Source organism: Homo sapiens, chromosome 6 (genome assembly GCF_000001405.40).
Source record: "Homo sapiens chromosome 6, GRCh38.p14 Primary Assembly".
NCBI classification, from domain to species: Eukaryota; Metazoa; Chordata; class Mammalia; order Primates; family Hominidae; genus Homo; species Homo sapiens.
Window position 1 is genome coordinate 72,951,962 of NC_000006.12, and position 26,508 is coordinate 72,978,469.

At 37.7% G+C, this 26,508-nt stretch overlaps 1 protein-coding gene, 1 long non-coding RNA gene and 1 other non-coding gene across 12 annotated transcripts in view; 1 reads left to right on the forward strand and 2 right to left on the reverse strand.

Annotated features, from left to right (window-relative positions):
- The window catches only part of KCNQ5 (potassium voltage-gated channel subfamily Q member 5), a 576,790-nt gene that overhangs the window by 329,898 nt on the left and 220,384 nt on the right, over positions 1-26,508 (forward strand). The window lies entirely within an intron of this gene.
- The window catches only part of LOC105377855 (uncharacterized), a 54,497-nt gene that overhangs the window by 6,084 nt on the left and 21,905 nt on the right, over positions 1-26,508 (reverse strand). Inside the window, exon 3 of one of the 2 annotated variants that reach the window (XR_007059641.1) lies at positions 23,365-23,776. This is a non-coding gene — a long non-coding RNA (uncharacterized LOC105377855). Of the gene's footprint in view, positions 1-1,057; positions 1,152-23,364; positions 23,777-26,508 lie in introns of those variants that run through there. The other variant, XR_942688.3, reaches the window with a different exon arrangement.
- MIR4282 (microRNA 4282) lies at positions 15,726-15,792 on the reverse strand. The gene has a single exon (NR_036244.1). It is a non-coding gene; the product is annotated as a microRNA 4282 (primary transcript).

Sequence of the window (26,508 nt, forward strand, 5' to 3'; positions counted from 1 at the left end):
GAAATTAGTTTGGCTTCTACAACTCTAGCTAGACAGAAACATTTGTCCCTGACACACTGAAGTCATTACTTAAGAGCAATTGTGCATTTGGGGAAAAAAATGGCCATTGTAAGTTTGCAAAGTTGAAGGTAAGAAGGATGGATGGTGAAATGGAAGCAAAGAAGGATTCAGTAAGATTAGTATTTTTGGATAAGGATAGTTGATGTGTCACACAACAGAGCCAACTTCAAAGTTTGACTTCAAAGAAAACTCTCCAAGAAAACACACTTGTGCATGTACACAGACACACACACAGAAAGCAAACACAAACACTTGGTAGTTTCTCCCTTTCATTTGTGCTAACAACTTTTCCATTCTACTTGGTCTAGGATTTTCTTTTCCTTTTTGATATGCTTCAAATTTTGCATCCTTGAAAATAAATTTTATTAGACATGATGCTAGGTTCACTTTAGACCCTTGTGTTGTACACTTCTTAATAAACATAGCTCATAACTTCTCCTTCTAGACCACAGTAGTCTAGAATCTGTCTTGCCACTGTGTTAAGAAGCACCCCAAAATTTTAGAAAATATTTTTATAGTGGTGTAAAATTACCTTATTAAAATCAGAAACTCTATAAAATATTTTAGCCTTTTACACCAATGCTAAATTCTAAACCTAATTTCATGTTGTAAATTATTTTCTAGCTTAAGCTGAAGAGTTTAGACCTTGTGACAATCAAAGCCAACTGATCAAATTCTACCTTCTTTGAGGTGCCCTTTCTTGGATAGTAACTGCTTCTTTCCTCAGTAATTTTCTAACTAGCAAAGCTCTTGAAGACCTTTCTCGGGAATCTTCCCTACCATTCATCCCTTCTTTATCATCCTGCCAAAATAATTTCTTCACTGGGACTTTTTGCTATAATTACCTCAATTTTGTTGTTTTAACTTAAAAGTAATAAACTCATATGCTACATCTAGATTACAAATTCCGGAAATAGAGATTGAACTCTTTCCTGCATTTCCTGTTTTTCCTGAGGATCCAGTAATGTGCTCTTGAATGCAATAAATGCTTACTCACCCTCTCCAGTAGGCTATTTCCATCTGATTCTGTCATTCATCCCTTCAGTGATTATTTGTTAAGTACCTAGTGCATTTTGAGCACACTGTGTGGTTCTAGATACACACCACATAGTGAAACAGACTTGGTCCCTGCCCTCGTGGACCTTACAACCCCATGATGAAGGCCACATAACAAGAAACTTCTCTGGACACACATTTTATCCAGTGAAGATGTTTTTAAAATGTGATTAATTAACATTTTTTCAGGTGGACTTTAGCCTGACTTACAGCCAACTAGCTACAAACCAAGATTTCTTTCTTGTGAATAACAATTTAAATTGGCAACTTGTGAATCACAAGATCTTTCCAGTCCTCACTGAATGTGATAAAGCCATTTATGTTGAACCCAGTGTGTGTTTTAGTTGCTTTCTCATAATGTAGGAAATGACATCAACAAATTGTAAAATGTTTAATGACTGAAACAACAATTATACTTAAATTCCTTTTCAAATCCAATGAATCATACTAACCTGTAACCTCTGTCCCTCTCCCTCCCCACAGAATAAGAGCTCCTCTCTTAAGGCAGCCCCCACCAATCCCTGCTGCCCCCTTTAAAATCCCTTCATGCCCATCCCTTCTGTAACTAAGAAATCTTGGACTGTTTGCACCAACTTCAAGAAACATGAAGAGGTCTCACATTTTTAGTTGCCTTTGGAGATGGGAGCAGGATAGACAGAGTCAGGAGTAGAATGAGACTTCCTCAAGATATGTATGTTACAGAATTTTGACTTTTAAAGATTGAGATGTACAAAAACTTAAAAGAAAAAATATGAAGAAAATGAAGAGAGGCAGTATGGTGAGAAAATGAAGTGACTGGAGGAGACAGCACAGCCAATATTTCACTCACAATCATTAGTCTTTATCTCATCTTTCTGCACCCCAGATTTTCCCTGGGGTGACTTATGAAATTTCAATTAACGAACCACCAACAAAGAACAGAGGCGAAACTGAGTCAACAAAAGGCTCTTGATACTTAAGTTCAGATTCCTTGGCAATCTTTCAAAGTTTTTCTTTGGCAGACCTCAGCACAACCACGTAAGAATATGTCTATGTCTTTGAGTTCATCTTAATGTTCTTTATACAGCTTTCTTATCTGTGACACAGAACAAGTTTCACTAAAACCATATCAAGCTTCTGGTTCCAACTATAGGTCTGTGTTAGAGAGCCACACCTGAAAAATCAAGCATGTCAGATGCAGACCTGTATGCCTTTACTGCTGTTCAAGAGGAAAGTGTAAGTGCTGTGGGAGGAAGGCAGGAGGAGGAGCCAGAGGCTTGGTAGGGGTGAAGGTAGATGGAGAAGAATGACTAAAAGTAAGTGCAAAAAATACTGCAGGAAAGCAGTTTGAGATAACTAAGGCAGCATTCCAGTGTATCCACTTAAGGAAGGGTTGTTAATACAGCTATACTTCTGTGGATAAGAAATTAACTTACTGTATAATTGCATTCTCGGAAGATCTTTCAAGACTTTTCTGTGTGTGTGTGTGTGTGTGTGTGTGTGTGTGTTGATAAAAACTCTCACTTCTAGTAAACTTAGGATAATAGGCTATGTCTTGCTAATCTATCTCACTGGTTATTGAAAAACTGTCGCTCTGTAGTCAGGGGTGGCAGGAATTTAAGTTGAAAGCATGATATGACTACAAAATGTGCATTTCTAGATACGCAGCCCTTCCCCAAACAGACTTGGCAGAATAAGTTAGTTTAAATGGTTGGTTCCATCTGTGTGGTAAAATTGTGTCTGACATCTGTTTAAAATGAGCACAAGATGCTTGAAAAAGAAGGGCAAGCCTCACTGTTGAACGTGATGGAATCTGGGGGCCATGGCCCTCGTGTGTATGTACAAGCTCACAGCTCACACGGTTCACCAGTCTTGTCAGCTGTTACTACCTTTTTATCTGGATCCTGTTAACTTGAGATTTGTTCTTAGCTTATGGAAAAGGTCTCCCTGTGTTTTCTTCCTCCAGATAGGAGAAGTCTCTTGGCAGAGTTCTTCAAAGGCAGTTAAGTCAGTAGCATCATGGAAATTTGGCAGCAAGTTGAGTACCAGAGCAGATCTAAACGTTAGTTTAGGTTATTTTCACAAGCAATTGTTCCACAATTTTTCATCCCTTTATTTTAGCAGTTAGCATAATCACTCACAACAGTTCCTAAAGTGAACCTGCTTGTCCATTCTTATCATTGTGTAGTCTGAATAACCATGAAATTTAAATTTAAATTGGATACATAAACATGGCAAAACATGAATAAATCATCCAAGGCCTTCTGAATTGTTCAGTTTTCACCTGCTTAAAGTTAATGCAAAAAGTCAAATTGAGGCCTTTGATTAAATAAAAAATTGAACAACTAGATTACTTTGATATATTTCATCTCTGGTAATTTTGTTCTTTTGCCTTTTAAATCATTTTAAATTGCTTTGAGTGTTGCCAAAATGCATGCTCACCCTAATCTATTATAACTATAAGTAGGAACTTTGTGCCTCTAATTAAAAAAGAAGATGTATATTCTAGGTGATTTAATCCACTCTATATTTGTTGGGTTACTTGGGAAGTGTTGCAGATTAATATAGAAGGAATTAGGACTTGGTCCTTGAATAGTGTCTCAAATATTAAAGATCTTGAAACTGAATTATTTTGCATTTTGTACTTTGAAAACATTGTGATGCACCAAAGTAACATAAAACTGGGTCTTCTAAGGTTATGTTTTTTAAAGGTACTATGCAAAAACAATAATTCTTGCCTGTAGTCCCAGCTACTAGGGAGGCAGAGGTGGGAGGAATGCTCGAGCCCGGGAGGAGGAAGTTGCAGTGAGCTGAGATAGCACAACTGCACTCCAGGCTGGGTGACACAGAGTGAGACTCCATCTCAAAACAAAACAAAACAAAACAAAACAAACCCAGTAATTCTCAAAATAAGGCCAACCTTAAAATATCCCAGGTACTAAATCATTTAGCCTATAATCTGATATCACTGTTTAACAGAAACTTTTCCATTGCTGTCAACTAAAAGGTAAGAAAAGGGAATGAAACTAATAAATTCTGAGCACATGCTTCGTGTTGGATACATTTAGTGCTTTACATTTGCTTTTTGTGCTAAATCCTTTACTAAGTTTATCATTTCATGCAATACCTGCAACAACCCAGTGACAACATCTTTATTTTACATATGAAAGAAACAGACTCAGAGAGGTTGCTCAAAGCCACACAACAAGTCAGTTATCAGAAGAAGAAAAGATCCAAACCAGAGCCAAAATTATTTAGCAGCCTCAAAAAAATTGACTTCAGTGTCTAACCTTCCCTCGTGTTTAAATACTCTTTCCAGGATAGGAGATGTAATTAAAACAATAGCTAAACAAAAACTCAAGCCATTATATCCCTTGAGGGCTGGGGGGAAGATTTAAATTGGTTTTGTTGTTATTTGGTTTTTTCTTTTTTCTTTTTTTTTTTTTTTTTGAAGCTTCTTTTTAACCCTTTTTTTCTTTCTTTCTTTCTTTTATTTTTTTTATTTTTTTATTTTTTATTTTTTATTTTTGGTAGAAACAGGGTCTTGCTATGTTGCTCAGGCTGGTCTCAAACTCCTGGCCTGAAACTATCCTCCCACCTCCACCTCCCAAAATGTTGAGATTACAGACATGAGCTGCTGTACCCAGCCTTTGCTTTTTTCTTGACATGAAATCTTACATGCAAAACCTATGTATTCAACAGATTAAAACTGAGATACTCTTGTTGGAGGAGAAAAGGGGCAAGGTAAGCTGAACTCCTGAAACTCTGGCTTTCCCCCCTCCCACCAAGATGGGCTTCTGACATCTCAGAAGGACCACTGGTTTAAGTTATGTTAGGCAATCTGAATGTATAATAGAGTTACTGTTAATAGACTATTTAAAGGTTCCTGAAAAGTAAGCATGGATGAAAACAGATGTTTAGAGCACTAGGTGTTCAGGCCCGTTGCATTACAGTGCCCAGACACTAGCAGCCAGGCTGGGCTTTGCCTCTACTTTAGAGCACAGCCTTGAGTGCTTCACTTCGCCTTGTGGGTCTGGGTTTTCTAAGCTTCATAATGAGTAAGGGTGGACCTAGAGCAGTAGATCTCACCCCTGGCTGTACATATGTAGGAAGCTTTTTTTTTTTTTTTTTTGAGATAGGGTCTTGCTCCGTTGCCCAGGCTGGAGTGCAGTGGCACAATCTCAGCTCATTGCAACCTCCACCTCCCAGGTTTAAGCAATTATCCAGCCTCAGCCTCCCTAGTAGCTGGGATTACAGGCGCGCACCACCACACTTGGCTAATTTTTGTGTTTTTAGTAGAGACGGGGTTTCACCATGTTGGCCAGGCTGGTCTTGAACTCTTGAGCTCAAATGATCTGCCTGCCTTGGCCTCCCAAAGTGCTGGTATTACAGGCATGAGTCCCTGCACCCAGCCGTAGGAAGCTTTTTAAAATGCCAATACCAAGGCCTCGCTCCCAGGGATTCCAATTTACTTTCATCTTTGGAGCAAGCCTGAACATGATCATTTTTAAAATACGCCCCTGATGATTCTAATATGCAGCCAGAACGGAGAGCCACTGGTCAGGGTGATCTCCCTGTTTCCTTCCATGTCTACACTGATTGTTTTCATCGAAATGCTAATGAGGATATTTTTAAATGCCTCCGTTCCATAGCATCGGGAGCTTAAGGAAAGTTCATTCTTATGTCACTCTCCTAGTGTCCATATTATTCATGGACTGAATTTAATCACATCATGGTCCTTTTTCATAGAAAACCTGAGAAAAAGGTGGGTAGCTTAAGGAGTTCCCCAGGAAAAGATTTCATTCTTGTTCTCATCTTTTTTTTCCAGGTCTTTTCAATGTTTTCTATAAATCACTCTTAAATGTTAAGTCTTACAAATTATAAAAAAGAAAAATTCTGAGCCCTCCTTCAGAATGACTACATTATTTTCTAGATTCCTTAGAGCAAGTGCTGTGCCTTATGAACTGATGTGTCCCTGGAGCCTAATATAGTGGGTGCCTGGCACATAATAGGTGCTCCATCTTTTTTTTTTCTTTTTATGAATGAAAGGCATCCAAGCTTTCAAAATTCTGACTCATGTTACATGGAAAGGGTTCCCTTATGAAGCTCAAACTGCCCATTACAAGAGAACAGTTTGAACATGATATAAAACAAATGGGCAGTAGAGAGGTAGTCAATGTGATAGCCTCCCCATCCCCATCCCAAGGTTACCAGTTGGGAAGATGAGTGGTTGATTTGATAGGGATTGTTTCACATAACCTCTTTATAACATATAGTTAGTGGAAGCACAACTTACTGTTGTGTTCAATTTATAAACACTGTTTCACAATTGTTTTTCATGTGAGGTTTAATATCCTGCCTGTCTAGCCCCAGACACCCATTCTACACATCCCTCCATCATATCCATGGGCACAATCACAGCCACTCCCTTCATCAAACATGTGCTCACTTTCTAGGCTCTCACTTTAAGTGTCTATCTGTAAGCTATTAAAGTCAAACATTTCTGCTATATTGATATGGTTATGGGATTTAGATTATTTTGTGCAGGTATATTAAGGTAAAACAGAATATGAAAACCATATGAGGCCTAACATATGAGGTACATAATAAATATGTGTTCAATTAATGTTATCAGGCCTTACACTAAGGTCAAGAATCAGGTAACAATCCCAGTGGCATAAATGGAAGAATTGCCCTAGTAAGTACAATGGAAACATAATTTCTTACATTTTCAAAGTGCAATACATTATCTGAAAACAGGAAAAAATGTGGTAACCATCCATAGTAACACATTAGGGAGAGATGTTAATGTTCCTATACCACAGCCAGGATCTATTTCACTAACAGCACCAATGAATGCAAAACTTTATGGAAGCCTATATATATGCTACCTGTTTATGGCAGTAAACGTGAAGAGAAGAGGTGTTTATCTTTCTCTTTTCTCCTGAATACTTCTGAATTATATCTCAACACTTAGAATATTAGCAGCCAGCCAGTACTCTTTGTTTTCCCTCTCGAAAATATGAACTTTAAATCAGATATTTTTGCAGGAGAAAATAAGTTTAGTAATCTGGGGTCTTGTTATGAGGCAGAATATGCATCAATAAGCAGAATAAAATGCATTCAGCTTTCAGGCTAGGCCTGGACAATAACGACCCTGCAAATCAGAGCTAGAATTCTAAATGCTGTGCCTGGGAATCTGCCCAGGGCCTTTTGGGCTCTCATTTTTGCTGTTTTGTATTTGATATTTCATTTATATGCATCAAACTAATACCAACTTTCATATTTGGGCAAGGAAAGGAAGAGAGAATGGTTGCTAGAATTAAAGAACTCCAAGGAACTCTCTAAGGAACATAGCTCCTAATAAAGGTTTCAGAGTTCCATATTTTTAGAAAACATGTATGTATTGATTATCTACAAAGACATTCAACACACCTCCTTAATTCTAGAAATAATGCTACCAGTTGTGGATATCATGAAAATATTTTAGGAGGCATAATTTACTACAGCATATCTGAGTTGAAAGAGTAGCGAACAATATTCTTTTGGTTATGTAATATGCTGGGCAGCCCTGAGATTCAGAAATGTTGAGGAAAACAAGAATTCTTCCCCATAAATAAATCACACTGTCTCATTTTAGAGTTTACAGTATAAAATGATAGTTTTTATCACTTTTTAAGTTGCTTTGGGGAAAACTCAAACTGAAACTGTTGGTGAATGAAATTTTATAAACTTGAGAATCCGGGAGATTCACGACACAATTCAAACCTACTTACAGGAATTATATCCCAAAGCACAGAAGTGTGAAAAGTGTCTTGAGTGTGTTTAATTTCTTAACTAAGCTTTCAACAATAGCTCTTTTCATCTAAGACTTGAAAACAAATAAATGTAGAGAGATTTTATGCTGCTAAGGATTTTTGAAAACATGCCAAGCTGTAGGCCAGAAGGGAAAGGAATGCTTTGATACACGCTATTTTGCGTATGCTGAGTTTTTATCTCTAACAGAGTAGGATCATACTGAAAGAAGCCTGACAACACACCCTTACTGACATTATTATGACATCAGAGCCCCTCAAATAATGGGAATTACTAACATAAAACTAAGTAAGGAGGAGAAAGTGACCAAATGATCCCATGGCCATTCCATCACAGTATCACTAGCACAAATGATCCAGATCTATCAATAAGCAACTAATTAAGACAAACTTTACACTGCCCATGATGTCAATTTATAAAAATATTTATTTGTGAAATAAACATCTCCAGTCCCTTATTTTCTTAACTTTTTAATAAATATTTAAGTGTTTCCCTCAATATTCTATTTCTATTTCAGTGTCCCCAAATACATTTGTTGTTGTTGTTGTTGTTGTTTTGTTTTGTTTTTATTTTTTGAGATGGAGTCTCACGCTGTCACCCAGGCTGGAGTGCAATGGGGCGATCTCGGCTCACTGCAACCTCCGCCTCCTGAGTTCAAGTGATTCTCCTGCCTCGGCCTCCCGAGTAGCTGGGATTACAGGCACCCACCACCATACCTGGCTAATTTGTATTTTTAGTAGAGACGGTGTTTCACTATGTTGGCCAGGCTGGTCTCGAAGTCCTGACCTTGTGATCTGCCTGCCTCAGTCTCCCAAAGTGCTGGGATTACAGGTGTGAGCCACTGTGCCCAACCCAGATAAGTTACTTTTATACAGAACTGTTATCTAATGAAACAAAAAAAGACTCTTCTATCCAGGCATGGTGGCCTGTGCCCGTAGTTCCCACCACTCAGGACCCTCTTGTCTTCTGAGTAGCTGGAACTACAGGTGCAGGCCACCATACTTCAGAGGTGGGAGGATCATTTAAGCCCAGGAATTCGAGGCTGCAGTGAGCTGTGATCACATCAATACACTCCAGCCTGAGGAACAGCTCATCTCTTTAAAAAAAATGCAGTTAGAGCCAGGGATGGCGGGCTTGTGCCTGTAGTTTCCACTAGTGAGCCTGAGGTAGAAGGATAGCTTGAGCCCAGGAGTTTGAGACCAGCCTGGGCAACATAGTGAGACCCTGTCTCCAAAGTTACTATTCTAAATGGTTAATAATTTATTCACTTCTGAAGCTGATGAAATTTAAGAAACTGAAAAGTAAATATAATGTGGACCCTCATTATATACTGTGGATAAGAGTGATATAAAAGAAAAATTAGATAATGACACAAAATACACATTTATAATCACATGCCAAACTAGGCAAGACCACAAGCATTTTTTGGAAATGATTTCAGGTTAAAGTGGAGTGGACTGGAGGCCGGGTGCGGTGGCTCACGCCTGTAATCCCAGCACTTTGGGAGGCCGAAGGCGGGCGGATCACGAGGTCAGGAGATCAAGACCATCCTGGCTAACACGGTGAAACCCCGTCTCTACTAAAAAAATAGAAAAAAAAATTAGCCGGGCGTGGTGGCGGGCGCCTGTAGTCCCAGCTACTCTGGAGGCTGAGGCAGGAGAATGGCGTGAACCCGGGAGGCGGAGCTTGCAGTGAGCTGAGATCGCGCCACTGCACTCCAGCCTGGGTGACAGAGCGAGACTCCGTCTCAAAAAAAAAAAAAAAAAAAAAAAGTTGGGTGGACTGGGGAAGGCAGGGTTGGTGGGGATTTGGACGGGCTGAGACGAGAAGATAAAGCATTTCAGGTGTGGACTTCAGAAAGGATGAACAAATGAGCTTGAAAATGATGAAATCCATTCAGGTAATTGTGCATGTGGAGAAAAGAGGTTGACAGAGGAGAACAGAGAGATTATATCTGTAAGTGAAGTAACTCAGGAATGGAAAACCTAAAACCACATGTTCTCACTTGTAAGTGGGAGCCAAGGCCAGGTGGGTTGGCTCACACTTGTAATCCCAGAACTTTGGGAGGCCAAGGCGGGCAGATCCCTTGAGTCCAGGAGTTTGAGATCAGCCTGGGCAACATGGTGAAACCCCGTATCAACAAAAAGTACAAAAAATTAACTGGGTATGGTGGTGTGCACCTGTAGTCCCAGCTACTTGGGAGACTGAGGCAGGAGGATCGCTTGAGCCTGGGAGACAGAGTTTGCAGCGAGCCAAGATCATGCCACTGCACTCTAACCTGGGTGACAGAGTGAGACCTTGTTTCTCTAAATATATATATATATATATACATATATATATATATACACACATATATATATATATACACATATATATATACACACATATATATATACATATATATATATATGGGAGCTAAGCTATAGGTATGCAAAGGCATACAGAGTGATAAAATAGACATCAGAGACTCAGATGCAGGAGAGAGAGGACTGAGGGATGAAAAACTACCCACTGAGCACAACATACATTACTCAAGTGATGGGTGCACTAAAATCCCAGACTTCACTACCATACAATTCATCCATATAACTGAAAACCACCTGTACACCTAAAGCTACTGAAATTTTTTAAAATTAATAAGTAAAATAAATCACTAAGCTCAGAACAGAGAGAGAAGCCATGTCTGGGTCATGCATGGTGGCCTTGAAAGGCAGCTGAAACTCTGTTTAGTCCAGAGGGACATAGAGAATCACTGAAGGTTGTTAGAGATGGAAACCGAACTGAAATAAGGAGGAATTCAGGAGTAATTTATAGACTGTGTGGCAGCAGAGAAAAAGTGGAGCCAGAGAGACTAATAGGGAACCAATGGCAGCATCCAGTTGTGAGGCCACTGGAGCCAGGACTGGATGGAGACAATTTACTTGCTTCTCAAGGCCACACACTGTCCCTCTGCAAAGGACCTTATGCTTGCTATTATGCAATGCCCAGCTACAATCAACACCTATCTTTCATTTAGGAATTTTGTTACCTGAGGATTTAGATGCATTTAAAGACACTCTTGATTCTTTATTTCCTCTAAATTAATGAGATTTATATCTCATACTTCTCAGAGGAAAAAAATGGTTTAATCCTAGTTCTAATGTTTATAAGCTGAAAGAGCCTCATTTCTCAAAAAATAAATAAATAAATAAAGCACTAAGTTAATTTACATATTTACAAAAGAAAAAACATTCTGCAGTTGGTTGAGTTTATGTGACAAGTATTTTCAGACATTTTAGAGTGAGTTTCCTTTGAAGGCAGTGATAAGAGTTTAAACTTCAGGTCTAAAGTAAAATATTTTAAATGGCTCCTTAGCTTTGCTTGCTAAAAAGTAGAACATTATCCAATGGAGATGGAAAAAAACCCTCTTTGCTTGGCCAGTGCAATACATGGGCTGCATATACGGAATTCATACTTGCAAATGTTCTATTTTAAGCTTGAGTCAAAATATGATTTGGCTAATATATTTTAGCACCTGTTTTTCACTGAACAAACCTCAGTCTTACTGGAATTAAGTGTATTATTTATTTTAATTTATGACTATTTTATCTTACTAAATGCCATAGAAAATCAATTGATATCTGCATTTCTAATACATGAAAATGCCTAAAATCTGGAAAGGAGTATTGTTTAGCAAATAAATATACATTGCTTAAATGATAGTATAATAGAAAACATTCATGTTAAAAACTGAGTTGGAAACCTTCATTTAGATTGCTATAGCTATTAATCACAGCTTTTATTTTATTTATTTATTTATTTATTTATTGAGATAGAATCTCACTCTGTTGCCCACACTGGAGTGCAGTGGTGTGATCTTGGCTCACTGCAACCTCCACCTCCCAGATTCAAGCAATTCTCGTGCCTCAGCCTCCTGAGTAGCTGGGACCACAGGCGCACACCACCACATCTGGCTAATTGTTAGTATTTTTTAGTAGAGAAGGGTTTCACCATGTTGACCAGCCTGGTCTTGAACTCCTGGCCTACCTGCCTTGGCCTCCCAAAATGCTGCAATTACAGGTAAGAGCCAACTCACTCAGTCCACAGATTTTATTTTTAAGATGGTGAGCTTCGTATATTTTTTTGTGAAGTCAGTCATGATGAGTTTCAGTGCCTTGTTTGAGGTCTCACAATTTTCTTTTGCTTGAGAAAATTTTTTAAAAATGAATATTTACTTAAATGAATCATAGCAATGCTGTCTTGACCACTTTTACAACATTAGTTCTCAAGCCAGTGAGTTTCTTGGCAGCTTTGTATTTATTCAATCAGTGTACTCAGTAAACGTAATTGTGCCCTGATAGACTTTTAAATGTAAGTTATCAAACATTAAAAATGATGGCATCATTTAAGCTGCTCACTTTACTCCTCTGGATGACCCTTGCAATTTCATGTGGATTATTATAGAGATCTGGTCAAATGTTTTGTATTAATCAATAGTAGGAACAAGCCTCATTACTCTCAAGTTTCTAAGAATATTTGCAGCCTTCATAGGTTTTCATGTTGTAATTCTGTTTATTTGTTGATTCTAAAACAAACCACCTTTATTCATAGTGAAAATATGCCTTAGGGTACAGAAAGACATTATTTGTATATGAACTATAAATACCTTATTGATTTCCTATCCTTGGTGATTACAAGAAAATATTCATTTAAGATCATCTCTTATATAATTTAATAACAGCAATACCATTCTTTGCTTTTTAAATAAAAAAGTTATGATACTTAGAATTTTACATATTTTGAAATTTATATGTAATTTATACAGAGTTGATCCTCAATATTATTAGTGTATTCCATGTTTGCAAATTTGCTAACCCACTAAAAATGTATTTATGAGGTGAAATAACACCTATGGCACCTTTGTGGCCCTTTACAGAGCAACAAAAAAATTTTAGTCTCCCAACATTCGGGTTCTCAACTGAGTTTGAACAAACTGACACTCTTGTCTTCTTGTTTCAGCACTCACACTGTAAACATGTGTCCCTTGCAAGACCTATTTTCTGCTGTTTTTCACATTTTCGTGCTTTTTTTAAAAAAAAATTCTTTTTTGGTTTACGTTTTATTTATCTATTTGTTTATTTTGTAGAAATTGGGTCTCACTACGTTTCCTAGGCTGGTCTCAAACTCCTGGTCTCAAGTGATCCTCCCACCTCGGCCTCGAGTGCTGGGGTTACAGGCATGCTCAGCCTTTTGTGCTTTTTGTTGATAATTTCACCACTTAAAATTGGCCCCAAGAGTAGTGCTGAAGTGCTGTCTACTGTTCCAAAGCACAAGAAGGCTGTGATGAGCCTCTTGGAGAAAACACAGTTGGTTAGATAAGCTTCTTTCAGGCATGAGTTACAGTGCTCTTGGCTGTGAGTTCAACATTAGTGAATCAACAATATTAAATAACGTATCATTAAATGGAAGCACAGGTAAAACAATAATATGTATTGATAAGTTGATAAAACTGATGAGACCAGAGGCTCCTGGGGACTTAGTCCTGTATATCCCTACGAGCAATGGCTTGGTATTTACTAATTCAGTGTTTGTAGTGACTTTACAGAACATAACTGCCACTGCAAATAATGAGAAATGGCTGTATCTCCTTCTGTTTTTTTCTTTCCTAGAAGCCATTTTCTCAACATTTCATCGTGAACTATTATGGCCTCATCGGGAATGTGAAGTGTGTCATCTGAGCAGATGTTCTTATTGTTTTCCTATCCACTGACCCACAGCATCAAACAATTTAGAGGAGAAAAGTGGTCCTGTCATCTCCAGAGTTATTATCTATTTTATTTTTAAATCCAAACTTCCACAATCAAGTTGCTATTAAGGTTTATCTTATTAGCATTTAAATTTTTAGGAAATGCTCATTACTGGGTTAAGCACAAAAAAGTCACATTGCTTGAAAAGTGCTATTTGTAAAACAGAATGGCCCACTTTGTCTATGTGTAAGAGGATCTGCTGCACATTTTTACCTGGAATAATATTGTCATGGATTTGGACATATGTGGAAGTGCTATTTGTGTTTATGCAGATCAACCTCTTGGTTTTACAGAAGAGAGATGCCAGTCCCAGGGAGGTTAAAGTGCCTGCCCAAGGCCGTGTGCTGGAGCAGAAGGGGAGGTGCTGCCTCCAGTCGAGTTAGAGCACTTCCCACCATCCACCACCATCAGGTCCTGAAGCCAAATACAGAAGATAGCATATATTTTTATTACTTTGAGATATCATCCTGAGCCCAAGAAGAATTTCTTGTTGCTGTCTCATAAATATATTACTTTGTTATTTATTAGTTTAGGCAGTTTATGACTAGCAGTCAAATATTCCCAATAAGGTTCGAATCAAAAATGTTATTTTGTTTTTGTATTATAAAAAGAAAAGCAGGCTAGGTGTGGTGGCTCATGCCTGTAATCCCAGAACTTTGGGAGGCCAAGGCGGGCGGATCACCTGAAGTTAGGAGTTCGAAACTAGCCTGGCCAACATGGTGAAACCCTGTCTCTATTAAAAATAACAAAAAAAAAAAAAATAGTTGGGCATGGTGGCAGGCGCCTGTAATCCCAGCTACTCAGGAGGCTGAGGAAGGAGAATCTCTTGAACCCGGGAGGCAGAGGTTGCAGTGAGGCAAGATCACCACACTGCACTTCAGCCTCGGTGACAAGAGTGAAACTCCATCAAAGAAAGAAAGAAAGAAAAAGAGAGAGAGAAAAAAAAGAAAAGCATATTTTGAAAGGTATCCTCTTAAATTTGTGGTGACCCTCAAATATTTATGCTAAAACTTAACTTTCAGTATGGAAACAGAAACATGGGTTCAATTTAAAATCCATGACTGGATCATGAGCAGGGCAAAGTGAGAGGCATTGTGAGATAGGGCCAAATGCTTCGAGAATTTACTCCATACAGACTGTGTTCAGGAACCCAGCACTTCCTCTGTGACTCAATAACTGGCACATATGGTTGCCAGGGACTACCAACAGCTGATTTCAATAAAAGTTACCCAATTACACCTTGAAGACCTGTTGTTTCTGGAGGGAGTTGGAGGAATTAAGGAATGTGGACTGAGTTTTTAAAATATATCTTACAGAAGTCAGAGGAAGATATAGAAGGACAGGAATATACTCAAGATACAATATTTTCTTCTACTGTACTTTTTGTTACATGGAACAGAATTTTAGCATTGGATCCCTTCAGCTGTGACAAAGGAGAAGGTCCATGGTTATAAAGTTTTCCATTAGACTCTCCTCACACACAGGAAATGAACTTCCATAAATTTAATGATATGACTCTTAGGGTTTTATTTCTCCCATTTTATAACCCTCTTTAGGATAGAAACACATTTCTTGCACTATAAAAATTTTAGTCAGCAAATTTTTCATATTCTCACTGGGATTTCATAATCAGTCTGTACACCCTTCCTATGCAATAACTTTTGATCAGTATAGTGAAATATAATGGTATTATGTAATTTTAAGATGTACATCTTAAAGACAAAAAAATATCCCTTTATTTAATTCAAGATAAATAAATCAGTGAGGAAAATGTATGGTGAAAAGTTTGGGCATATATTAGTTATCTTTCAATATATTTTTCATTTTTTTCTTTTTATTTCCTTCAACCATATGATGCAATCAACGGATATTTGTTGGGTGCTTTGATGTTTTCAGATCTATGCTATGCACTACAAGGGTCTCAAAAAGGAATGAAGAACAAAGTCCCTGCTCTCAAGAATGTAGAGTTTTCCATACAAGGTTCTAAAAACCATTAAGGTCACTTAAGATATCAGTCAGAAGGTGAATAGGATGATGTTCCTGGATGCAAATTTTAGAAATGTGGCATACTAAAATCTTCCCCTGGAACTTCACCATTCACACCTAAGAAGTTAAAGATGTCTCAGTAGGTTCTCACTATGTTGTCTAGGCAGGTCTCAAACTTCTGGCCTCAAGAGATCCCTATACCTTGGCCTCCCAACGTGTGGAGGTTACAGGCATAAGCCACTGCACCTGACCCATTTTCTCCTTCTGAAAACTCTTTTGGATTTTAGGATACCATGTTCTTTGGATTCTTCCCTGCTTACTCTGACCTTCCTTCTTGACCCTCACTGTCTCTTCCTCATTCGCAGGGCCACTTCTCCTTAGCGACCCCAACACAACCAAGTCTCAAAATTGGACATCTGATATATGTGACAAAGATATGTTTTCATTTATATAAAATGTGAATAGAAACTTACATACACACACACAAACATACAAACACACACACACTCACAGTGTCTCAGAAGTTCTGCAACAAAGAAATACAGTTATTGTCATTGAACCCAGAACTCCCTAAGTGTTTTTGACAGAGCAACTTTTTCTTGAGACAGATCTATAAAAATCTCTTGGGATAGTGGTGTTCTATGGAAAACAGTCTGGGGAATACTGAATTAGAGAACCGTGTGAGACATTTTATTATTAACATGCAAACTCAAAGTACTGAAAGTGTAGAGAAGAGAAATATCATTATGATCTAGACGGGTGAAGAAAAGAATCTCAAAGGAGGATAGACTTTTAAAGAAATAAGTGAAAAAAAAAACAGAACATGTGATGAGGAGGGGGAAATTCAGATTATATCTCCCAAATTGATGATATTGATTATTTGAAAGAGGAAGGCAAAGGTGTAGACAATGATTATTAGGGACTTTGACTTTCTAAGTTATACATTTCTATATTGTTTATGTACTTGTTTTTACAAAGTTTTACAAATGTTTTATGAAGTGGCTTATTCTTATAATCCAGAGATATTCTCCTAAAACTAACTAAAGTTTATTTATCAGATTAACTAATGATGTGTATAGCTCTTACTTCCACAATTATCCATATATACATATATGCAATATTTACAAACATAGAGATGTACAAATATAATATCTCGGCCAAAAATAATTGAAGCATCAAAGTCAACCTACATTGTAATCTTGGGCAGCACCTGTTGTTTATTCATCTCTCAAGTGTGGCTGACTTCAGGGATGAGAATAAACAATGTGATCTCTTACTAAGCTTCCCTTTGGACTAGTCATCCAATTGGTATGTGATGACTTTATACCTGAAACTAAGGAGTTGAGGAATAAGCTGAAAATAGCCAACTTGGGTTTCCTAAGTACAGTTTGGCTTCTGTAAGAACTGTTTGGTTGCTCCTCAATTTCAGTGTATTCATTTTTTAAAGTATATTTATTTTAAAAGTGGCAAATTCAGGTATTACTTAATAATTAAGAAGCATTTATGCCCAAACACAATATATGTTTACAACCAAATTTGAAAGTAATTGAACTGATAACCCTTTAGACAAAGGAGATGTGTTATAATAAATATTATTGTCAGCTTTCCTTCATCTTAAGATTTTTTGAATCTTGGAAGAAGATATGCATGAACTTTGTGTTGGGTATTTATAAATGTATACACATATATACATAGCAAAATGTAAGCACAATACAGGTATAACATGTAAGGTTAGACCATGTAAACTTGCTGAAATTCAGTTGTTTCTGACCTACAATAATGGCAATTTCATATGGTTGAACCTAATGGTTTGTCTCAGTCATTAGTTAGTGGTGCCTCCTCCCCTAGGTAGAGTTTTCCAATTGTGTTGGGATGGTATTTTCACTCTTGTAACATTCCCAACTTGTATCAGAATTCCCTTCATCTTCCCTCCTCTACTTTTATATTATTCTATTCCGTCATTTTTCTCCTAGATACGACTGGACAGATTGTTTACTTATAGCAGTCCCTATATGTTAATCCATTTCTTTGGTCAACAAATTCTCAAACATCAGACCTTAAAGGTCAAAGAAAATCCCTGTGTTGAATTCAGTACCATGTATACAGAATTAGTCAACTATTGCGGCTCTTTCCCTATTATCTATCCCTATTTCTGTTACTGTTGATGTTGTCTGGGAGTATCTAAACACTCCCAGGAATTCAGGTACTTAAGAGGACTGTCTGGATAACAACGTCTGGTTATCTGATGTCAACTTCTGAACCTCTTGGCAGGAGTCCTAAGGCCTGCATAGAAGATTGGCTCTAGGACAAATGCTATCAAGAAAATATTCCCATTGGGTGCAGGTGGCTCATCCTTTTAATCCAAATCACTCAGGAGGCTGAGGTGGGAGGATTCCTTGAGGCCAGGAGTTTGAGACCTGCTTGGGCAACATAGCAAGACCCTATCTCTAAAAAAATAAAATAAATTAGCAGGGCATGGTGGTGTGCACTAGAAGTTCCAATTACTCCAGAGGCTGAGGTGAGGGGATCACTTGAGCCCAGGAGTTCAAGGCTGCAGTGAGCTGTAATCACACCACTGCACTCTAGCTTGGATGACAGAGCAAGACCCCATCTCTAAAAATATAATAAAAGACAAATAAGAAACTAGTCCCCCATAATTCAAACATGCTTATTACTCACTATGATTACAGATCAAAATAACTACCAGCTTCAGTGGATTAAGTATCTAAACCTTGATGTGATTGGCCAATAGTTTGATTACTACCATGTGTGTATTACATATGCACATGTATTCAATGCTGATACAATAATCTGTAAATAGAAAAGTGCAATAGTTTTCTATATGCAGTTTCAGTAGTACCAAAGCTAATTACCAGTTGAGAAGAATTTGGCTTTATAAGAGGTAAGCCAAAAGAACAAAGCTGGAGGCATCACGCTACCTAACTTCAAACTATACTACAAGGCCACAGTAACCAAAACAGCATGGTACTGGTACCAAAACAGAGATATAGACTAATGGAACAGAACAGAGCCCTCAGAAATAATACCACACATCTACAACTATCTGATCTTTGACAAACCTGACAAAAAACAAGAAATGGGGAAAGGATTCCCTATTTAACAGATGGTGCTGGGAAAACTGGCTAGCCATATGTAGAAAGCTGAAACTGGATCCCTTCCTTACACCTTATACAAAAATTAATTCAAGATGGATTAAAGACTTACATGTTAGACCTAAAACCATAAAAACCCTAGAAGAAAACCTAGGCAATACCATTCAGGGCATAGGCATGGGCAAGGACTTCATGTCTAAAACACCAAAAGCAATGGCAACAAAAACCAAAATTGACAAATGGGATCTACTTAAACTAAAGAGCTTCTGCACAGCAAAAGAAACTACCATCAGAGTGAACAGGCAACCTACAAAATGGGAGAAAATTTTTGCAATCTACTCATCTGACAAAGGGCTAATATCCAGAATCTACAAAGAACTCAAACAAATTTACAAGAAAAAAACAACCCCATCAACATGTGGGTGAAGGATATGAACAGACACTTCTCAAAAGAAGACATTTATGCAGCCAAAAGACACATGAAAAAATGCTCATTATCACTGGCCATCAGAGAAATGCAAATCAAAACCACAATGAGATACCATCTCACACCAGTTAGAATGGCAATCATTAAAAAGTCAGGAAACAACCGGTGCTGGAGAGGATGTGGAAAAACAGGAACACTTTTACACTGTTGGTGGGACTGTAAACTAGTTCAACCATTGTGGAAGACAGTGTGGCTATTCCTCAGGGATCTAGAACTAGAAATACCATTTGACCCAGCCATCCCATTACTGGGTATATACCCAAAGGATTATAAATCATGCTGCTATAAAGACACATGCACACGTATGTTTACTGCAGCACTATTCACAATAGCAAAGACCTGGAACCAACTCAAATGCCCAACAATGATAGACTGAAATGTGGCACATATACACCATGGAATACTTTGCAGCCATATAAAATGATGAGTTCATGTCCTTTGTAGGGACATGGATGAAGCTGGAAACCATCATTCTTAGCAAACTATCGCAAGGACAGAAAACCAAACATCACATGTTCTCACTCATAGGTGGGAATTGAACAATGAGAACACTTGGACACAGGAAGGGGGACATCACACACCAGGGCCTGTTGTGGGGTGGGAGGAGAGGGGAGGGATAGCATTAGGAGATATACCTAATGTAAATGACGAGTTAATGAGTGTAGCACACCAACATGGCACATGTATACATATGTAACAAACCTGCACATTGTGCACATATACCCTAGAACTTAAAGTATAATTTTAAAAAAGAGGTGCTAAATATGATCTAGTGAGTTCTGTGGCAGACATTTTTAAGTAGAAACAGGGACAATGTCTTGTTATGGCTTCTTGATGGGGTCAAAGGCTGTATTGCCTTCTAGCTACCGGTAAAGAAATTCTCTAACCCTAACCAACAAGTGCCTCAGCCCCTACCTCTGCAAACTGCAGTCAGTCTGAAGGCAATCTGCCATGCCAGAAAGCCAGTTTTCAGAATCTCCCTTTCAGAAATCTAATATGGAAATAGACAGTCTTGTAAAGACTTGCATTATCTATTTACTAGTGAATAGATGAATATCTACTTGCCATTAAATATAGCAATTAACCAATACCAGTCAACAATCATTGAGCTGCTTCTTTTTTTTTCTTTATTTCTTCTGAAAAAACAAATGGAATACATGTGCAGAACATGCAGTTTTGTTACATAGGTATATGTGTGCCATGGTGGTTTGCTGCATCTATTGACCCATCCCCTAAGTTTTCTCCCCTCACCCCCTACCCCCCAACAAGCCCTGGTGTGTGCTGTTCCCCTCTCTGTGTTCATGTGTTCTCAATGTTCAACTCCCACTTATGAGTGAGAACATATGGTGTTTGGTTTTCTGTTCCTGTGTTAGTTTGCTGAGGATGATGGCTTCCAGCTTCATTCATGTCCCTGCAAAGGACATGATCTCATTCCTTTTTAAGAGCTGCTTCTTTGTATAAGTGCCTGGTGGTTAACACAAGTGCCTAGTAGGTGTTCAATAAATTGTTCTTCCACTAAATTAAAAAGAGTAAAATAAAGGCCTAATCTCAGGGGCACTATAATCTTCTCATAAGAATACAATGTGTTTGTATAATGTTTTTATTTCATCACCTACATAATCAAATCCTATCTACACACAGCATGTATTAGACTTCATTTTACCAATGAATAAAATTGAAGCTAACAGTACATCAGAGATTTGTCCAACAGTTACAACCTAGGAAGTAGTGAAACTAAACTAAACTCTAGGCCTTCTAATGTGTAATTCAATGATAGTTCTACCAAATCTCCCTGGTTCACTAAATCAAACTGAAAAGGAAACGCTTTTGGTAACAGAGGAAAACCATAGCCACATTCACTGATGTCCCAAATGGGTTGAAAAATGAGTCCCACTTTCTGCAATAAATGGCCCTCAATTAATAATTTATTGGTCATAGGTTACAGGTTATCATAGTCATATCATATTGATAGGCCTATAAATGTTTTACCATTAGTAAAAAGAAAATTTCAAGATTTGGGAGTCATGGGAAATCTTTGCACCTTCCTCTCAATTTACTGTGAACATAAACTTCTCTAAAAAAACCTAAGTCACTCAAAAGAAAAATATGGGTCAACAATACTTTTTTAGAGATGCCATGGATTTTTTTGTCAAGCATTTTGCAATTTTTTTTTTACTGGAGGGAAAGGATTTTGTAGAAATCCTTTGAAAGGCTGAATTATTATGGAAAATAATTTTGAACTTTGAGAACATTAAATTCCTTTGTTTCCCAAAGCTTTGTGGCAAAAAAGAGATGCTCTGGAAAACTTTTCAAGCACTTAGAATTTTACAGTGATGTAAAAGTTGTCTGATACCTATTATGAGTAATAGTACCTGGTTAGTTTTCTATTGCTTTTCTTTGAATTACGGTTTTCCACCAAGCAACATTAAACAGGAAAGACAAAGATCAAATACTCTTCCGATCAACTGATGCTCATTTTATCTAATACAAATGACAAAAAGGGAATAGTAAAGAACAGAAACAGTTTTTCTGTCACTTGCAAAATAGTATTGGGAACTTAGTTCTGCCAAAGAAATTAAGAAATATGTGACATCTCTATCTGCCTTTATTTTTCCTTTGGTTATTTTTGTATTTAACGAGACAAAAACATTCAACAGTGTACATAAACTTTTCCCACATTTTAAATTTATTTTTGAATGATAACCTTTAAATTCACAATAAGTTCTGACATAAAGGTACATTTATGATGGGCCCTTTATCATGAGTACCTGAGTAGGAGGAGACATACACTGAAAACTTTGCTGGGGGAGAAGTAACATTGTCTTGCCAGATGAGAGTGGAAATCACATTTTAGCCCTTTGTAATACTCTAAACCGAGGGTTAGTAACCTATGGACCAAATCCAGCTTTCCACTTGTTTTTGTAAATAAAGTTTAATTAGAACATAATTACACCTATTCATTTACAGTTTGTAGCTGCTTTTGCACTACAACTGCAGTGCTGAGTAGCTCCTAGAGAGACCATATGGCTCACAAAATCTAAAATATTTACTATCTGGTCATTTACAGAAAAAGTTTGTCCACCCCTGCTATAAATCTTTCTCTCTTCCCTTCCTCTCCTACAGATGGCAATAACTAGTGGCAAAAAAAAAAAAAAGGCCTAGACTCTCTTATGGCAAGAAGTGGAAAATAACGCATTTTTTCTGGATTGTGCAGGTGATACTTCTGGGTCCCTGCCAGCCTCGTGCATTTTCAAGGGCCTAGGAATCAGAAACCATTTCTGACTCTTTGACAGCATAGCCCTCCTCCCACTACTCTCTAAATAGAAGCATTGACATCAGAGTATCCTAAAACAACCAAATATGGGACATGTTTATTTAGTGCATCCCTGTCAGCTTACTAATTAGAAAACTGAGTTATGTTTCTCTTTTAAAAAATAGGACAGGTGCCCATGAAAACTGAAAATTTAGGCCAAACTATCTATGCTAATAACACTTTCTACTTTTTTTTTTTTTTAGATGGAGTCTTGCTCTGTCATCCAGGCTGGAGTGCAGTGGCACCATCTCGGCTCACTGCAACCTCCGCCTCCCGGGTTCAAGCAATTCTCCTGCCTCAGCCTCCCAAGTAGCTGGGACTACAGGTGCACGGCACACCCGGCTAATTTTTTGTATTTTAGTAGAGACAGGGTTTCACTGTGTTGCCCAGGCTGGTCTCAAACTCCTGAGTTCAGGCAATCTACTCGCCTCGGCCTCCCAAAGTGCTAGGATTACAGGCGTGAACCACCACTCCCGACCCTAACACTTTCTACTTTTACATCTCCCAGCGCCATTTAATATGTTTTAGTTTCAACTATGCACCTAAAACAGTAATAACAAAATTTAAGTAAACATCTCTAGAACTTTCAGTGAAGGATAAAATATGTTAGGTAAAGCCACATTTTTGTCTTTCTTCTTATCCTCCTAATGTGTTTCTACCTACATAAAATCATCAACTTCAATTTTTTTTTTTGGTCACAAAAAAAAGCTTGATGCTTATATACATAGCAGCAGCAAGAAAAAAAACATACCTTTTTTCTTTACTTACCAGACCCCAGAGGAGTGACTACAGCTTTAAAGCTGACTGTGAATATATTTTTGGAGAGAGGAAGTTTGTGTTGTCTAGTGTCCATCGCTTGCCAACTTTTCTGATCTATAAAATACTTCAGTGACTTCACACACTGATGCTGGCTTTCAGCTTTCTTTTAGCTCTGGTCACCAAGAGCAACAAGTGCCATTGTAGGTCAATCCCTAGAGAAACATCTGTCTTCTCTATTCCTTGGGCAGGTACTTTCATGTGTAGTAGTTTCAGAGTTTATGGTTATTTCTCTCTGGAGACCATCTGTCTGCTGGGTTTATTTTTTCCTGATGTTGTACCACATCATAAAGTCTACTGCCAAGAGTACTTTACTCAAGAAGATTTTGTTTTCTGCTGTTTTAGTCACTTCACTGCTTTATTTCTGTAAGCCAAATCAAGTGGACAAAATCAGTAGCAATTCCCCACTCCACGGCCCTGTAGCATAACCTGGCTCAGTTTGGTTGCAAGTTCTTATGACTGCTTTAAAACATTCTCCTCACACAATAAGTGATGGGTCCTCTTGTATATACGTGTAACAAAGAGCTGCACTGAGATTTTCCATGAAATGTGAATGCGCTCAGAAAGCCTTTCCAAGTTTTTTAAAACAAGTGAATCATGTAGGTCTAATCAGTTGAAAGTAACCAAATTCATAATTGATTTTTATTAGCAAATATAGTACTTTGAAATAGCTTTTTATGCTGCATGACCCAAGGTTAACAAAAAAATAGCTTTTTGTTTCCAGGGAAAAATAAGTTTAAGCTTATTTTTATCCTTTCTTACTTTAGTTCCCAATAATCATACTTAAATAAATGTACTCCAGAGTTTCTATTTTTCATTTTCAGATAATGTAATGGTTATTATCATATAGTCATAGAAAATTGCAATGGTTAAGTCATTATTTGCCTAATAAATTTACAACCTTTTTACGGAAAAATGATTCCGGCCAGACAAATGTTGTCAAACACCTTTTAATGTGTTTTCAACCTTTGTCATAGCTCACTTTCTTGCATAAACAGAGCCTTCCAAACAAAGCATGGAAAATTTAAACCACATAGATTCGTATTATCAAAACTATTACACCGGATTATTTTCCATAGTGTCAGCATTGACATTAATTTCTTGAGAAGATAACTTTAAAAGGAACACTCACATGGATTTTACAATGTCTCTTCCTCACCCTTACAAATAACTTTTATTCATTCACGGCTATAATTAGCACTTCCTGTAAGGCAGCCCTTTTCTCGGTTGTGGATGGGCACACTGTGAATTCATTAGCATGGTAGCCAGGTCAGCAGAGTCATTAGTGGTCATTTTAATGATGACTTGGAAACCCTGCCTGGTCAATTTAAGTGAGGCTCATTCCCATGTACTGACTGCAGCCAAGCAGCTTCACAATATTACCCATTTATTTAGGCAGCTTCAAATAGTTTCCCAGGAACTGGAGTAACAAGAAGCTGAATGCAGAGGTCTGTGTGTCAAGAAGTTTCCATGACTAGTGAACCCTGAGCACTTCTCTGTACACATTCAAACCCAACTCTTACATTCATTCTTCAAATGGGTTTGCTTAGACCAAGCCAGATTACTTGAGCACCTTAAATTTTGCTGGGTATTGTTTCATGTTTTACATTTATAAGTGTTTTGCATTTTAAGCAGGGATTTTATATAATAAACCAATATAATTCATTGTCATCATTGTTATCCATGTTAGCGAAAACTTGTAAAATTATGTAGCAATTATGTGTCAACTGGCATTTTTAACTCTCTTTGGTATTTATTTATTTATTATGTTAAAACACAGATTCTCATTTTGAGGCTATCTCATTTTATTCTCAAAACAATACTAGAGGAGAAGTAGTGAGGATGTGGAAAGGAAGCCATGTACCTGGGACACAAAGAGTATGAGCTTGGGGATCAGCTGACATCTGACTTGCAGACTGTGGCTGCAGGCAGGGGAAGTAGCACACAAAAGCATCAAGTTTCATTATTATATCATGTTATTATGTTACAGCATGATATTGTGCAGGAAACAGAAACCAGCCGGACCTGCCTAGAAGGTCTATCTGGAGAAATGGAAGAATTAATGTTCTTGTGAGGATCTTAAAAGCCAGATGAATGAGTCTGGATGTGATAGCAAGGGAAAGGAACCATAAGTTTTAAAACAAGGAATTGGCATGATAAAAGCAGTTCCATAGAAAGCAGGGGCCGGAAGACCTATGCAGGCTGAATTCCAAATGCACCATTGCTTTGGCTTGATGACTTTAGGGGTTTGGGGGTTTCACTTACAAATTCAGTAAATGTCACCTTTTCAGTGAGAGAGACCTTCCCTGACCACTTTGTCCATACGTTCAACTCTCCCCGCTTCTGCATCCTATCTATCCTCTTTCTCTGCTATTTTTTTCTCCTTAGCAGTTATCACTTTCAAACACAGTATGCATTTTATGTAATAATACGTTGTTTATGGCCCATCTTTCCCGCTATAATGTAAGTTCTGTAAGGGCAGTGATTCTTGTCTATTTATTCACTATTATACCTTCAGCACCTAGAACACTGCCTGGCACATAGTAGCCCCTGAATACTACATGTTGAATGCGTCAATGAATTGATTAGTACCTGTACCAAGTCCTATTCTTGATACTAGAAATAAAGTAGTTAATAAGATACACAAGTTTTCTGTTCTCATGGAGGATACATTTTAGTAGTGGATACCAAAATAAACAGAGTTGTAATTCCAAGTGGTGCTGTTTGCTCAGAGGAAAATATAACAGAGTTAACAAGAATATCAAATATCAAATAAATGCTCTCCTGTTGCACACATTGAATATATAACAGTCGAAAAGGCTGTTTTTGTTTCCAGTTTTGAATTCATTATTCCTGAACAATCTACACTGGTTTTTTATCACAGTTATTTTTCCTGGAAAAGACACAGAAACAGCTTGCAAAAGCAAGAACCTGACTGTGATAGATTTCTAAATTGTAGATCTTATTCCATTCAGCAAGATCATTCCCAGTCATTCCATTCAGCCATGAACTGCATGTCCCATCTACTATGATGGAAAACATCCTTTTCAACTGCTATCAAGAAGCAGAGCCTTTTTATTTATTTTGACAGGCCAA